This window comes from Homo sapiens, chromosome 17 (assembly GCF_000001405.40).
Source record: "Homo sapiens chromosome 17, GRCh38.p14 Primary Assembly".
Classification (NCBI taxonomy): Eukaryota; Metazoa; Chordata; class Mammalia; order Primates; family Hominidae; genus Homo; species Homo sapiens.
Window position 1 is genome coordinate 33,019,092 of NC_000017.11, and position 16,772 is coordinate 33,035,863.

The 16,772-nt window shown below is 45.0% G+C and overlaps 1 protein-coding gene across 2 annotated transcripts in view; it reads right to left on the minus strand.

Annotated features, from left to right (window-relative positions):
- The window catches only part of ASIC2 (acid sensing ion channel subunit 2), a 1,143,682-nt gene that overhangs the window by 6,005 nt on the left and 1,120,905 nt on the right, over window positions 1-16,772 (minus strand). For both annotated transcript variants that reach the window (NM_001094.5, NM_183377.2), the window contains exons 4-7: window positions 9,151-9,301; window positions 6,835-6,891; window positions 4,770-4,923; window positions 2,128-2,219 (exon numbers count right to left, since the gene is read on the minus strand). In NM_001094.5, the coding sequence (NP_001085.2) occupies window positions 2,128-2,219; window positions 4,770-4,923; window positions 6,835-6,891; window positions 9,151-9,301 (454 nt within the window). The remainder of the gene's footprint in view (window positions 1-2,127; window positions 2,220-4,769; window positions 4,924-6,834; window positions 6,892-9,150; window positions 9,302-16,772) is intronic.

The window sequence follows — 16,772 nt, forward strand, 5'->3', positions numbered from 1 at the left end:
TTGGGGACTGTGTTCTAATGGATATGTATGTCGGGGGAGGTGTGTGATGTACGTGTGCAGTGTGAGTCTGTAGTGGTATAGTGTGGGGTATATGCCAGGGTCTGGGGTGTGTGCACGTATTTGTATAAAAGCAGGCAGGAGGTCTGGCTGTCTATGGTTTTATGTAGGTGGCTCTCCCTGTCTAGGCACCCTGAGTGTGTCTAAGTGTGTGTGAGTGTGGGTCTGTGGAGGTGAGCAGAGTGTGTCGAGCGTGTGTAGTGTGGGTGTGCTTGTGTGTGTATATGGGGGTGTGTGGGGGCTGTGTGCATGGATGTGTCTCTAGCTGTGTGATTGGAACGTGGGGCTGTAGAGGTGTGCATTTGTGTGTGTGGTCCTGGACCACCGTGGGTGCATGAACCTGTAGGTTTGGTGCATGTGCGTGCAGACTGGGGTGGGGTATGCTGTGGGTAGTGTGTGTAGCGTGCACGTGCATGGACACCAGGAGGTGAGAAAGGGCCGTGCGGTGCTGAGAGAAGGGCCTGATGGGACCTGATGGCTGAGGGTTTGCAAGCGGCACACGCTCTCATCACAGGAGGTCCAGATGGCAGCATGAGCTCCTCAGCCGGCTATTCTGGATGGGAACACGATCGATGCTGAACAAACTCATCCTCATATCTGACGCAGACATGACAAATTCAGAGCTCAGGCCCTTCTTGCTCTGTATGTCTCTCTCTCTCTCTCTCTCTCTGTGAAAGAGAGGGATCTGTGTGAGAGAGAGAGAGAGAGAAAGAAAGAGACGCACATAGAGCAGAGAGACAGAGAAAGACTGTGAGCCTATGCTGGGGGAGGGCAGGGGGTAGGAAGAGGCCTGTCCTGGGTCCTCTTTATGGAAATAAAGGGCAAGGCCAGCATAGGGGTGAGTGAGGGGTCTATGTCTCTGCTGGGGCCAAGGGAATGAGTCTCTTGGCTCAGTACCTTTGGCCACAATGACTTCTGAGGCTGAGTGACAGCCACTTTAACCCAGCTGGGACCGAGCTATGGTGGGGAGTCCCCAGCCTCCTGGAGAAAGTGTAGAAATGCTTAGCCAGCCCCTGGACACACCAGCTGAGCCCTGGGTCCCTGGCATAGTGATTGTCCAGGTGCCAGAAACTACTATTTATGGACCTTTTCTGGGCTAGGGGGTTATCATGTTTAACCATCACAACAAGCTCATAAAGTGGGTTTTATTAAACCCATCTTGCAGATGAAGAACCTGAGGTTCAGCAAGGTAAAGCTACTTGCCCATATTCTCATAGCTGGTGTGAGAAGCCAGGTAGGAGGCACCTGCCCCTTCCAAAATGCTAACGTCACCTGGTTCAGCTCAGGGAGACAACAGCTATTTCTCTTTCTGGTTTACAGGCATCAGATCCTTTCTTGAGAGTGAGTGGGAGCTGAGAGAAGGGCTCTAGAGTCAAGTCCTTTAACTGTGCACTCTCAGGGGTCTTGTGAGTTTTGGGTTGGGCTGGGTTAGGATGGAAATTAGCTGCCTGTATCCATCAGATGCCACTGGAGCCGGGGAGCTCATGCGAACTTTTGTGGGGTGGCAGCAGGTTTGTAGATACCTGGGGAGAGTGGCCCTTCATTTGTGTTTGACAAATGACTCTCAGTCCAGGGGGCAACACCTGGCCTTCTGGATGCAGCAATGTTGCTTTTGGGGTGAAGTTCCATCAGGGCCCTCACCTCCCAGGTCCCACCTTTGACCACCCACAGTTCAGCCTTCCCTCCTTCTCTCCTTCTGATACCTCTGCCCCCTCTCCATGGCCCCAGGATCCTGACTGCAAGCTGGGGCAGAAGACCATGAATTCCAAGAGTGCAGGGTTAGAAAGGCCCAGAGAGACCTTTAGGCTGACCGTCCTCATTGCATAGATGGGGAAAATGAAGCCAAGATTGGGGAATAAATTGGGCCTGAAATTCCACCCCACTGCTGGGGTTCTTTCCATTCTGGGAGAGGAGCAGTGCAAGGAAACAGGGAGTAATTATTAGTAAATCAAAAGGTTAGACTCCTCCGAGGCTATGTGTCTGTCTGCTTGCCTCCCATCCACCTGTGCATCCTCCCTCCCTCCCACCCTCTATGAGATGTGGAAATTTGTGCAATAGACACTGACTTACCAAGTAAGGCAGCAACTTCATACGCCTTCTTCTGTTCAATTGTCTCATAATTGAGAGCTTCAAAAAATATATCCAGAACAAGGATGTTCTCTCTGCAGAGAGAATAGTCAGTACCATACATGGTTAGAGCTATCAGCATTCACAGGGAGCATCTAATACAGCTTTCCCATGGAAAGATGGAGAAAAGGAGGCCCAGGAAGTGAGGCAGCTTGCCCAAAGTTAGAGCTGGTTAGTGGCAGAGCTGCGGCTTCAAGCCAAGAAGCCTGACTCCCAGCCCGGGTCTGGAGGCCTACATCAGTTGCCTCCTTTTGTTGCTTATTTCTGTCTCCCTGCTTTCTCTTTGCACCCTATGCAGGAGTCCTGCCTGGCTTCCAGGCCTCTGCGCCTCCAAAGGGCCTGCCTCGTCCTCAACATGAAGGTGAGTTTCATTAATCTTCTGACAAGGCTTGTCTTGGCTAGGGTGCCTGCTCCAGCTGACCTCATGGGCAGCCCCTGCCCACTCCTGAGGCCCCCTAAATTCCCACTGGTATTTATAACAAGCTCCTCCTGTTGGGAGGCCCTGCTCTGGCATTATCAAGTCAATTGCCAGAAGTCAAAGAAAGTTTGTAGGGAGCAAACTTACATCTGGCTGGGGGGTGTTCTGGCAGAAGCACCGCGGCTTGCTTTGCTCCTTTGGGCAGGTGTGTGAGTGAGACACATCTCGGCAGTAAAAGTCGTTACTGCCTGCAGACTGTCTGCCAAGCAGCAGGGACTGGCATCCCCTACAATTCCTGTCTCCTCCAATGTGCCCACAATTCCTCCAGTGCCCCTTGTTCTCAACCCACTGAGCAGAAGCTGGCCCAGGATGGGGTCTGGGGACAGTGTTGGCAAGAAGGAGGGGCTGGCGAAGAGAGGAGCAGATTCTTCTTTCTGTGAGCAGGGCTCGCAGGGCAGCTGTTCAAAGTATCACCTTCTCTTGCTTGGCTTGCCACAGCTGTTTCCTAACAGTTCCCTTCTTCCCATCTGCCTTTCCCCCGTCTTCTCTATCGCCGCCTGAAGGATCTTTCTAAAACTGCTAACTTGATTCAAATTAAATAAAATTACAGTTCCACTCCCCAGTCACAGGCTGCATTTCAAATGCTCGTTGGCCACATGTGGCTAGCAGCTACCCCGCTGGGCATTGCGGACACAGAACATTTCCATCATCACACAGCATTCGTCCTATTGGGGAGCAGTGGGCAAAAATGCAAATTTGAGTCTGTCACTCACCTCTGAAAGCTCTTCAGGGGATCCCTAGTCTGTTAGGATAAAGCCCACCCCCTGCACCCACTCGGCTCAGCCTACAAGACCCTCTTGCTCTGACATATCCATGTTCCCCTTTGAAGTTTTCTCTTCTGCCCTGTGCTGATGGTCTCTGCTGAGCTTCTGCCTAGGACACCCACTTCTCCCATGCTTCCATTCATTTATTCTGTTAAAACACATTTTTTTGAGTACCAACTCTGTGCCATATGCTCCACTAGAACTTGGCAGACAACAGAGAACAAAAAAGATAGTTTCCTGCCCTCAGGGGCTTTCAGTCTAGTGGGGCAGACAGGTAACAAACAAGGAAACACAACATGAATATGTAATTACACACTGTGGTGTTATAAAGGAAAACACCAGAGGACTTTGAGAGAAAAATAACAGGAGAGCACCTCATCTAGATGCCTGGGATAACCTCAATTTTATTTTTATTTTTATTTTTTATTTGTTTTAGAGACAGGGTCTAACTACGTTACCCAGGCTGAGCTTGAACTCCTGGCCTGAAGCAATCCTCCTGCCTTGGCCTCCCAAAGCATTGGGATTACAGGCATGAGCCACCATGTCTGGCTGGAGATGACATTTAAATGGAGACCTGCTTAAGGAGGAACCAGTTAGGTGGAGGCTGGGAGGAAAAGAATTCTAGGCAGAGGGAATAGAACGTGCAAGGTCTGCCTGGAAAACTATACATCCTTTAAAAAAATCTCTGGGCCAGGCGCGGTGGCTCACACCTGTAATCCCAGCACTTTAGGAGGCCGAGGTGGGTGGATCATGAGGTCAGGAGATCGAGACCATTCTGGCTAACACACGGTGAAACCCTGTCTCTACTAAAAATACAAAAAAATTAGCTGGGCATGGTGGCGGGCGCCTGTAGTTCCAGCTGCTCGTGAAGCTGAGGCAGGAGAATGGTTTGAACCCAGGAGATGGACCTTGCAGTGAGCCGAGATCATGCCACTGCACTCCAGCCTGGGCAACAGGGCGAGGCTCCATCTCAAAAAAAAAAAAAAGAAAAAAAAATTCTCTGAAGCTTTCCCTGATGTCACCTCATTGCAAGCTGCAGCTAACCCATCATTCTCTCCTTCCCTATGCATCCCCCTATGATAGCCAAAGTCACCCTATATACCATTCAGTGTGTGCTTGTCTCTCCATAAGACTGCAAGCTCCTTAAGGGCAGGGGCTGTGTCTTACTCATCTTTGTCTTTGTATTCTGAACATGGAGCGCAGAGCGTGACACACAGAGGGTGTTCAACTAATGTTTGCTAACTTGAACCAAATGCTTATCTTTGCTTTCCTCCTTGATTGCCTCCAATTTCCTCCTTATCCAGTTCCCCCTTCCCCCTGCCTACCATGCCCACTAAACTTACGAGATATATTTTTCTGATTTGTTAAATTTCTTCTCAAGGTACTTGGCTGATGTCTTGCTGGGGATCTTCACCATGGAGAGCTCTTTGTTGTAGCGGGTTAGGTTGCAGGGTGTCCTGCAGAGACAGTAATTGCTGTCCTTTTCCGCCAACAGACCTGGAGGGGAGAGTGAGGTGGGGCTTAGTCAGGTGTGGGCACTGGGATTTCTAAGGGTCCAGAGTAGCTGGATTGTAGCAGCTGAGAAATGAGCTGGGAAGGGGCACTGGTCTGGGGAAAGTGAGGGGCAGGGATTGTGGAGAGAGGGGAACTGGGCTTTTGCTGTAGGTTGATCTTGTTTTCCTTCTGCTTCTTTTAACTGTCATGTCACTCTTTAAAAATTGTTGAAATGGGACCACTTTTGCAGAGGTCTCCAAGAGAGTCCTGGTGTCCTCAGCTTCTCATGGCTTTCTTCCCTGCTCCCAGCCTCAGTATTCTCATCCACAGAGAATGATCCACCATCAAAGCAAATGTAGGAGACCATTTTATCTGAAACCCAGGGCTCTGTGCTCTTCCTGCTGGGGCTCCCTCATAGCCAGTGCCCCACCTTCTCTGCCTGGTGGGTTAGGATGCAGGCAAAGTTCCTTCATTTCTTTCCCTGGAGGCAACTCCCTGCATCTGGAACCCTTCCTGCCCTCTCCTCTCTTCTTCCAATTAGACATAAAGTTTAAGGCATCATTTCCCTCTGACAAAGACTTTCTCCCTGATCAAACTTAGCCAGGCTCTTCAGAACCCTGTTCTCAACTAGGCCTTGACCTTGGCCCCCATCCATGCTGGGCGGGCCTAGCCCAGTTTTAGCAAGAATCCTGCTAAAGTCAGTTTAGAGAGAATCCCCCACCCTTGATATCTGATCACCCTGGCCTGCCTTTGCAGATTTCCCCCTAACTTTGATGTTTTCTCTGGGTAATTTTCCATCTACTGAGTCCTCGCTCTGCTTGATGGCTATGAATCTCCAGCTGTCTTGGCTGAATTCTCAGTTGAGTCCCATCTGTTTCCCCTGTTGTGATACTCTTGACACCTGTTGCAATTGCCCTGAATAAAGACTTCCTTACCATTTTAACTAGTGTCAGAGTGATTTTTTCTTTAACACCTCCCTCCCTTTTTCCTCTAGCCACCTCAGTGTTTCCAGCTACCCTGGGTTTTGCTGAGTCTTTGCACACATCAGAAGTCACTCCCTCTCCTCTCAGCCTGCCCTCCCTCTCTAGTCCTCCTGGAGGTATCTGGACCTGAGGCCAGCACTGCCTCACTTAGCTCCAGCAAGTGCAGATGCTGAACGAACTTGAGGGCACATTGTTTAAAAAGTCTGCTTGTCTTGATTATAAGCCATTTCCTGGGTCCAGAGAGAGGCAAGCATGCAGAGTGGGCCTAGCTTTGGGGCTGCAGCTTGTTTGTGCACTCTCCCTCCCTCCTAGTTTTCCAGCTGGGGAACCAGCAGAGGTCTTCTAACTGGCAGACCCCCCGCAGGCCCCTCAGGCAGGAGGAAGAAGTGTGCTTTGTGTTTTCCATTTGCATGCATGGAATGCAAACCTGACTTTACCTCTCCAGCCCTCCTCCACCTCCCCTAGGCTCAATGGAGCAGAAGAAAGATGGTACTTCAGAATCACCTTGGCCTCCCCATGTAGACACCATCAGAGTGTGTGAGGGGAGGTATTGCCAAGCTCCTCTGATGCCTACCTGGCTGCCCACTGTCTATCCTCTCTCCACCTCTGTCCTCTCCCCTGCATTCCTTAGCACCCTCTGTTTCCCCTGAAACCCACTCCTTCTCCATCTCCACCTTCCATATCTCTTTCTCTCCCCAGTCCCATTTCCAGCCCTCATCCTCTTGCACCAGTTCCCTTCCCAACCTTCTCTTCTTCCTCCTCTCCATCTCCCTCTCCCATCCCTGCAGCAACTCCACCCGACCAGCCCCTTTCTTCTCATCCTCTCTCCATTCCTTCTTCCACTTGATCTTTCCCCAAACCCAGATGATTTCCATGATCTCAGTCTCAGGCCCCCGGCCCCCATGATTCCATCTGTCCCCTGAGTACTGACCTAGGGCAGGCTCTGCACACTCCTTGTGCTGCTCAGGGGTACAAAAAGGGGCATCCCCTGCAAAGAAGAAACACCAGACAGAGTTACTCAGGCAGGAACATTCATGTCAGCAACACCTCCTCTGCTTTGGGCTTAGGGAAAGGGGTGCCTCCTGGCAGTTGAAGGGGCAGCGGCCTGCCAGTGGGCAGTTCGAAGGGAGCCTTGGATCACAGTGCACCCCAGAGCTGGAAGGCTGGCTTCTGATCTGCTATGTAAGCTTGGGCAGGCTGTTCACCTCGTTGAGCAGGAGACAGTAGGATCTGTATGGCTAACTTCTCCCATGTTTCTGTGTAGGTCCAGCCAGCTCCCGTGGGTGACAGGTGGGCTCACCTTGAGGATTGAGACTAGGGAGGTGGTGGTAAGCACCTTGTAAGCCTGGCTATACATCATCTTCTTTAACCCATACAGGCACCCTTTGAAGTCAGAAGTACTGTGTCTGTTTTACCCATGATAATTTTGAGGCTTAAGCATCCTGCCTTCCCAGGACACCAAGGCTAGTAGTGATGGAAGTGGGCTTTGAACAGAGGTCAGTCTGATCCAGAGCCTGGAGCTCTTCTCAGCACAACCACACTGCTGTATGGGAACAAGGGTTGTTTTGTGTTTCTTCATTGCTTTGTTCATAATTCCACATTAGTAACTGAGATGTCAGTATTAGTGTCATGGGTGTGATTGACACCTCTACTGCTTGCCTTTGGCTAAGGGTTGGTGGGGAAAACCTCACTGGCTGGTGGCCTAGTCTGAGCATCAGGTGAGTAATATTCCCCAGTACTGGATTCTCCTTGCTGGGATCTCTTTGTAGAAACCCAGGATCTTTTCTTTTCCTTTACCAAGCTCTAAAGTTAAAGTCCACCATGTTTTTTTCCTTATCATTTTCCCCAAATCCTTTTTCGGAGCCGAAGAGTCAATATGCTTTCTCCTTTCCAAAAACAACAGATTAAATGACATGTTTCCCTGTTTGCTCTGTTTTCTAGGAAGCTCAGAGGCCATTTTATTATTATTCGTATTTAAAACATACAAATTTATTATTATGTTACAGTTTAGCAGGTCAGAAGTCAGATATAGGTCTCATTGGTCCAGAATCAAGGTGTTGGGTGGGAGGCCAATGTTCTTTTTGAAGGCTGTAGGGGAGAATTCATTTCCTCGCCTTTCCCAGCTTCCAGAGGTCACCCCCACATTCACTGGCAACCCACATGCATCGACTACCCACATTCTTCCATCTTCAAAGTGAACAAGTTTGCATCTCCCTGACCCTTCTTTCATAGTCATATCTCCCTCTGACCCTGGCTGGAAAAGGGGGGTTGATTTTGAGGACTCTGATTAGATTTGGGCCCACCTTTCAGCACAGATTATCACAGAAAACAATTGGTAATGAACCAAATGTCCAGTATAAGGATTTAGTTAAGTAAAATTGAATAAAGTATGATATAACCATGAAATAACAGCTACTAAATATAATAACAACATTCCCGGCACATAGTAGGTCTTTAGTCAGCATGACTTTTGGTTCCCTCTTTCAATATGCTAAATAACAACCACTGACTTTTATAGTTTACAAAATATTTTTATATCCTAGCCTAATTTTCACCTTATAACAGCTGCTGATTGTGTTTTAAAGTTCATAAACGTGAGAACAGAGAGGTTTAGTAACCAGGTCATACAGTAAATGAGTGGAAGAGCCTGAATTAGAAACCAAGGCCCCACTCATGTGTCCTTGCTGCAACACTGCGCTCTTCCTCCCCAGATCAGCTTTCCACTCTGCACTTCAGCCTCTGATAAGCCAACTGTGTGAGATGGCCACATGCATTGTTAGTCTGACAACAGAGGTGTCATTATGTGCACATTTATTTGCTGGCCAATAGACTTTTGCCTCATTTGAAGGAGTGCTAGACATTTGGACACAAAAAGTGAAACATCTGGATGAAAGAAACATCTGGATGCTCAAACATGTACTACACGAGCTGCAAGAATTGCAAGCATCCAGTTATCTGGAAGCTAAACTCTCAGAGGTAAGAACAGCAGACAACTGGCAAACATTGAACACTGGGATGAACATTCCCCAAACACTGGATGCTTCTGGATACCAGGATGCTGCCTTGGTTGCTGGACCAGAAGTTTCCACCTGCCCTCTTAATAGGCACCAAATAACAGAGTCTTCCCAGAACATCATCCTTTTGGATCCCAGCGAAGTGGGTGAAGTGTTTCCCATTAGGATGAGAAATGCAAGGTGGGTCCCAGGCAGATCCCAGGGCCCTGTGGCCACCCTGCCCTGGCACTGACCTGGCATGTGAACCATGCGGCAGTTGCAGTTTTCCACAATGTAGCGGGTCTCACAGTCAATCCTACAGGCGGTGATGCTGTAAACAGGAAAAAAGTCGAGGCCCATCTCTGAGGATCGGCACTCACCCCACGGTGGGGGCAGGTATGTGAGCTGCAAGACAGGAAGGAGGGGGCGGCAGTCAGCCTCAACAGACTCAGTAACTCATTCATTTACTTACTCAATCAACAAACAATTATTGAGCATTTAAATACCATTAACTTTATAGACCTTCAACATCTGGCTCCAATACTAGTTTTCTTACCTTACTTTAATTTTTTCTTTTTTCTTAGAGACAAAGTTTCACTATGTTGCCCAGGCTGGTTTTGAACTCCTGGCTCAAGCGATCCTCCTGTCTCGGCCTCTCTAGTAGCTGGGACTACAGGTGGGCACCATCAAGCCCCACCCTAACTTATCTTTTATAATCTTCCCATAAATGCGGTTCTCCTCAGAGTCTCTTACCCCCACCATGTCTTCCCACTTCCACATTTTGCCATCTTGCATCTCTTGGAAAGACCCAACTAAATTCCACCCTCTTGGTTTGAGACATTGGAATCCCAGACCTAGACCTGGAGGACGAAACCCAGAGGAAGATTCAGAATGAAATGGCTCTAGGCACTATCCTTCTTATTTATAGTCCTGGGCCTGGACTAGAGAGACTTTCCAAGTCATGCTGTAGATGGCACCTTTTCCCTTTGGAGAAAATTACATTCCTATTTTCAGAGGTCCAGTGATCATAAATGCTCTCATAGCATCTATGGTACTTGCCTAGTGGGAAGGGTGAAGGATGAGGGAACTAATGGTTGTTGAGCATTTTCTAGGTGTTGAGTCCTTTATATCCATTTTTCAAGATTAAAGAATAAAAACACAATACAATGTACAAATATTAAGTGCACTATTCAATATATTCTAACAAAGGTGTTTGCCCATGTAACCAGCACACCAACCAAGATAGAGGACATTTTAAAACACCCTAGAAAGTTCGTTTCTGTCCCTGTCCAATCAGTCCCCAACCTACCTGGGTAATCACGGTTATGAATTCTCTCACCATAGGTTGGCTTTGCCTGTTCTCAAACTTCATATAAATGAAAGCTTACACTATGTGCTCTTTTGCATCTAGCTTCTTTCACTCAACATAGTGTCTCTGAGGTTCATCTACATGGTTGTTTGCACCAGGAGTTCTTTCCTTTTAATTACTGAATAGTTTTCCAGCATTATGTATGACTACACTAAAATTTGCTTATCCACTCACTTGATGATGGGCATTTGGATGGTTTCCAGTTTTTGGTAATCATGAAAAAACTCCTATGAATATTTATACATAAGTCATTTTGTGGACATATGTTTTAATTTCTCTTGAGTAAATGGCTAGCAGTGGAACAGCTGGTTTGTAAGATAGGTATAGGCACAACTTTATAAGAAACTGCCCAACTGTTATCCAAAGTGGTTCTTCTATTTTATATTTCCACCAGTAGTGTCTGAGAATTCTCATTACTCTACATCCATGCCAAATCTGGACTTCGTCCACCTTTTTGATTTTAGCCATTTTTGTAGGTGTATGGTTGCATCTCATTTGTATTTGTGGTTCCCTGACGGATGATTTTGAGCACAATTTTATGTGTTTGTTGGTCATTCATATATAATCTTTTGTGAAATGTCTGAGTTTTTTGTCCATTAAAAATTATTATTTTTTAACTTTTACTTTTGGGTTGTAAGAGTTGTTCATATATTCTGGATTCAAGTCCTTTGTCAGACACATGTATTGTAAATATTTTGTCCATACCACCTATAGTCTGTGGCTTACCTTTTCATTTTCTTAATGGTATCTATTTTTTAAAATCAACTTCAGAAGATATAATTTATATACAATAAAATGCATCCATTTTAATGTTCAATTTAATAAATCTTTAGAAGTGTATACACCCTTGTAACAACTACCCTAATCAGATATAGAACATTTCCATGAATCCCCAGAATTTCCTATTTGCAGTCACTGCCTCCCTGCCAACCCTCAGGCAACCCCCAATATGCTTTCTGTTGTTATAAACTAGATTTGCCTGTGTTAGTGTTGTATATAAATAGAATCAGACAGTATGCATTCTTTTGTGTTTGGCTTCTTTCTCTCAGCGTAATGTTTTTGAGATTCATTCATGCTTTTGCACGTATCAGTAGTTCATTCTCTTTTATTGCCGAGTTTTACTTCTTCCTTTCTAGTCTTTATTATTATTTTTATTTCTTTTTCTTACCTTGCTGTATTAGCTAGAAACTCCAGTATCATGTTGGAATAAAACTGGAGAGAGAGGATATCTTCCCTTTTTCCATCTTAGGAAGGAGGGTTCATTATTACACCATAATATATTAGGAATATATTTTTCTTAGATGTGCTTGTCACATTGAGAAAGTTCTGTCTTATTTCTCATTTGCTGAGAGTTTTTATCATCAGTGATATATATTTTGGCAAATATACTTTCTACTTCTATTGAGATGATCACATGATTTTTCTCCTTCATTCTATTAACACAGTGAATGGTATTGATTGATCTGAAGAAGCTGAACCCAACTTACACTCCTGGGATAAACTCCACTTAGTCATAATTTATTATCCGCCTTATATGTTGCTCTATTCAATTTGCTAATATCTTGTGGAGGTTTTTTGCATCTATGTTTATGAGGCATATTGTATTTAATTTACTTTTCTTATAACCTCCTTGTCAAGTTTGGGTATTGGGAGTGTGCTGACCTCATAAAATTAGTTATCAAGTGTTTCCTCTTTCTCAATTTTTTGAATTTGTACGGACTTGGTACCATTTCTAACTTAAATGTTTGATAGAATTTGCCAGTGAAGCCATCTGGACCTGGTGATTGTGTGTATGCGTGTGAAGATTTTTAATTATGAATTCAACTCTTTTAATAGATACAGAGACATTCAGATTTTCTATTTTTGTTCTTGTGCTAGTTTTGGTAAGTTGTGTTTTTTCCCCAAGGAATTTGTTCATTTCATCTAGATTTTTGAATTTGTGGGCATAAAGTTGTATGTAATATTCTTATCATTTTTTAATGTCTGTAGGATTTACAGTTATGTCTTTTCATGTCTGATTACTGGTAATTTGTATTCTATTTTTCCTTATTGTTAATAATTTCTAATTTCATTATGTTTTGGTCAGAAAACATCCTCCCCATGGTTTCATTTCTTAAACATTTATTGAGATGTTTTTATGATACTGGACAAGAAAAATAAATCAATGTTCGATTTTGTTGAATGTTCCACGTGCACCTGAAAAGTATATGCATTCTGTAACTGTTGGCGTACTGTTTTACAAAAGGCAATTAGGTTTAGTTGTTTAATATTGTTGCTCGGATCTTCTATATCTTTACTAATTTTTTCATCTGCTTACTAATCAGTTATGAGAGAGGAGTATCAAAACATCTAACTATGACTATGGACTTGTCTGTTTCTCCCTTTAGTTTTCTCAATTTTTGCTTTGGGTATTTCTGAAACTTATTAGGCATATACATATTTAGGATTGCTACATCTTCTGGATGACTTGACCCTGTCATCATTGTGAATAATCATCTCATACAATGTCCTTGTTTTGAAGTTTACTTTGCATGATAACAGACATGGCAGCTTTATTCTCCTACTATTTATCTTTTTCCATCTACTATTTTGTTTTCATCCTTCTACTTTTAACTGTCAGAATCTTTATATATTTAAGGTACATCTCTTTTTGAATGTGTTTTTAAGGTACATCTATTTGAGTGTTGTATCTTATCCTGTCTGACAACCTCTCTGCCTTTTAATTGGAAGGTTTGATCTATTTACACTTAATGCAATTTTTGATATAGTTCGGTTGAAGTTATCATGTTGTTCTTTGTTTCCTATTTGTACCGATTTCTAGTTCTCCTTTTGTTCTCTCTCTTCTGACTCTTTTTGGGTTAATTGAATATTGTTTTAGTAGTTCATTCTGTTTTCTCCATTGAGTTTCAATTTATAGCTCTGTATTATTATTCTTAGTTGTTGCTCCAGGATTTACAATATTCATACTTAACATCACAATATACCTTGAATTAATATTATGCCAGTTCACATATAATTCTATTTATATTGCTTCTGTGTCATATATTTTACTTCTACATCTGTTATAAGCACTATAATACACTGTTTTTTTTTTTTTTTTTTTTTTTTTTGAGACAAAGTCTCACTCTCTTACCCAGGCTGGAGTGCAGTGGTGCGATCTCTGCTCTCTGCAATCTCTGTCTCCTGGGTTTAAGCAATTCTCCAGCCTCAGCCTCCTAAGTAGCTGGGACTACAGGGATGCACCACCATGCCCAGCTAATTTTTGTATTTTTAGTAGAGCCAGACTTTCACCATGTTGGCCAGGCTTGTCTCAAACTCCTGACCTCAAATGACCTACCTGCCTCAGCCTCCCAGGTGCTGGGATTAGAGGCATGAGCCACTGTGACTGGTCACACTGTTAATATTATTTTTGCCTTAAGCAGCCAGTTGACTTTTAAGGAAGAAAGAAAGTTACGTTTTATATTTATCCACATATATACCATTTTCATTGTTCATCATGCTTCTTACAGATCTGAATTTTCCATTTGATATCATTTCCCATCATGCTGAAGAATCTCTTTTAACTTTTTTTTTTTAGAATGGGTTTACTTATGGCAAAATTTCTCAGTTTTCATTTAAATATACAATGTTGGGCTGAGCATGGTGGCTCATGCCTGTAATCCCAACACTTTGGGAGGCAAGGCCGAAGGATTCCTTAAGGTGAGGAGTTCAAGACCAGCCTAGGCAACATAGTGATACCGATGGCAGTGGCTGCTTACATTATGCCGGCTGCAGCTGTGCAGCTGTGTAGCTGGGGCTGCACACTCCGTAGAGCCAGTGGGAACCCTGACCCTTCTGAGTTAAGACTGGAGCTCCCCATGCCACTGCACCCACAGCTGCAGACCCAGGCCTCCTGTAGCTCCTGGGCGGGGCTACAGCCGCCCAAACTGCAGCTGTGTATCTGAGCCTCCCTGTGCTCTTCTGGGAGCTGGCAACAGGCAGGATCTGCCTTCCTGGGGGTGCAGCTGCAACTGCGGCACCCACGGCTGCAGACCTGGGCCTCTCACTCCAGCAAGCAGGCAGGAGCAGGGGACAAGTGGGAGCCCTGCCCCTTCCAAGTTGGCAGGTGGGAGCTCCCAGGTACAGCTGCAGCTGCCCTCCCAGGTGCAGGATCTGGGCATCTCTGCAGCCTGCACCCTCAGTGGCCCCAGAAGGGACCACCCCAACCCATCCCTGCAGGCTGGTGGGTGACTCCTCCCACTGCCTGGCCTCTCTATGCTCTTGGAGCCTCCTCTGAACTTGGAGCAGGGTTGGGGCCATGAATGACAGCAGGAGGCAGATTGATTCCTGGCAGGAAGGGGATGGGTCCCCAGTAAGGCCCCACCTTCAGACCAGAGAAGGCCTGAAGGCTGTGGGAGGGACTGCCAGTCTTGCTCACTGGAGTTGGGACTCAGGGTGCCCCTTCCAGGCCCACCCATGGGTGCCCATGCATGAATCGGCACACACTTCCTCCCCTCTGAGGTCCATAAAAGCCCTGGGCTCAGCCAGAGCAGAACAGAGAATGGCCAGAGGACCAAGAGGTCAGAGAGACAAGGGGACAGGACGACCAGCTGCAGAGAGGAGTACTCTCTCTGCTGATAGCGGAGACGATGAGATGATCAGCTGCAGAGAGGTGTACCCTCTCCACTGAGAGCTGCAGAGATGGCCTGCCAGCAGAGAGGAGCTACCCTCCAGGGCCTCCTCGCTGCTGAGAGCTGAGCACTCGATGGGGTGAGCTGCCTGCAGAGAGGAGCTACCCACTTCTCTGAGCTCTTCTAACACTAAATAAAACTCCTCTCCTTCTCCTCCTTCTTCTTTTTCTTCTTCTCCCTTCACTTGTCTGCATCCTTCATTCTTCCTGGATGCAGGATAAGAACTCAGGCAAAGGCACCGTGGCCACAGAGGTTTCCAGCCAGAAAAATCGGCACCCTAGAGATCCTGTAACAATACCCTGTCTCTAGCAAGTAAAAAATATAGTCAGGAGTGGTAGTGCACCCCTGTAGTATCAGCTACTCATGAGGCTGAGGTGGGAGGATCGCTTGAGCCCAGGAGTTCAAGGCTACAGTGAGCTATGATTGTGCCACTGCACTCCAGCCTGGGTGACAGAGCATGAGACTCCTCTAAAACAAACAAACAAATAAACAAACACCCAAAACCAACTTAAAAAACCTATAATGTCTTAGTTTTTTTTTGTTATTTTTGAAACATTTTGGCTGTAGATAGAATTCTAGGTTGATAAGTGTTTTCTTCCAGAATTTCAAAGGTGTTATTCCTCTGTCTTCTGGCCTCCATTGTTTCTGATGAGAATCAGTCATATTCTTTTTATTGTTCCCTGCAGGTATTATGCCCCCTTTTCTCCCTCTGGCTGCCTTTGTGCTTTTCTCTCGGTCTTTGCTTCTCAGGATTTAAACTACATTATGCTTAACTGTGGCTTTCTTTGTAGTTATCCTGCTTGGGGATTCTTGAGAATCCTGGATCTATGAAATGATGCTTTTGAACAAATTTGAAAAAATATTAGCCAGTATTTCTTCAACTGTTTTTCTGCCTTATTCTGTCTCTCCTTTCAGGGATACCACTTATATGCATGTTGGAGTACTTGACACTGTTCACAAGTCATTGGCGTTCTATTCCCTTCCATTAGTCTTTTTTCTCTTTATGTATTATTTTAATAATTTTTATTAACCTGTGCTCAAGTTTGGCATTCATTTATTATTTTGTAACCAATCTTCTATTGATTCCATGCAACAATTTGTAAATTTCAGATGGTGTGATTTTCAGTTCTAGGGCTTTCATTTTTTTAAAGGTTTCCATATCTTGACTAAAAGTTTCTCATTATTTACATCTTTTTCTGCAATTATTTAACATGTTTATGATTGTTATTGTAAAGTTGCTGTTTTCTAATTCTAACATTGGGGTTATATGTAGATCTATTTCTATTGGTGGTTTATTTTTCTTTTCCTGTTTTCCCTCTTCATGTGTCTAGGAGTTTTTGATTGTATACTAGGAGAGAGTCATTTTTATTAGATACTGAACATTTCAGATAACTATTTTTGGTGACTCTGGGTAGATTATCTTTCTCTGAATACTGTTGAGTTTTGTTCTAGTAGGTGGTTAAATTAATGGTGAACTACTTTGATTTCATGGAGACATTATTTAAGGCTTTGTTTAGAGATAGGTATATTTTAGTTTTGTCTTTAGTCCTGGGGTTTAGCCCCTGGTCTTGGGAAGCGATCTTAACTCCTAAGGAACAACACTTCTGGGTTTAATGGAAAGCCTGAGTTGTTCATCAAGATTTTCTAATTTGGTGAGACTTATATTGTAGCCTATCTCCCCATGCAATGGCAGCAACTGAAATTACTGCTCAGCTCTTTCAACTGTTGTCATCCCCCTGGGCTTTTTAGACTCTCTCCCTATCCACATACAGTTCAAAGTTCAACCTAGATTTGTGTAAAAATTTGAGGGCTCCTCCTCTGTGGGTTCCTCTTTTCT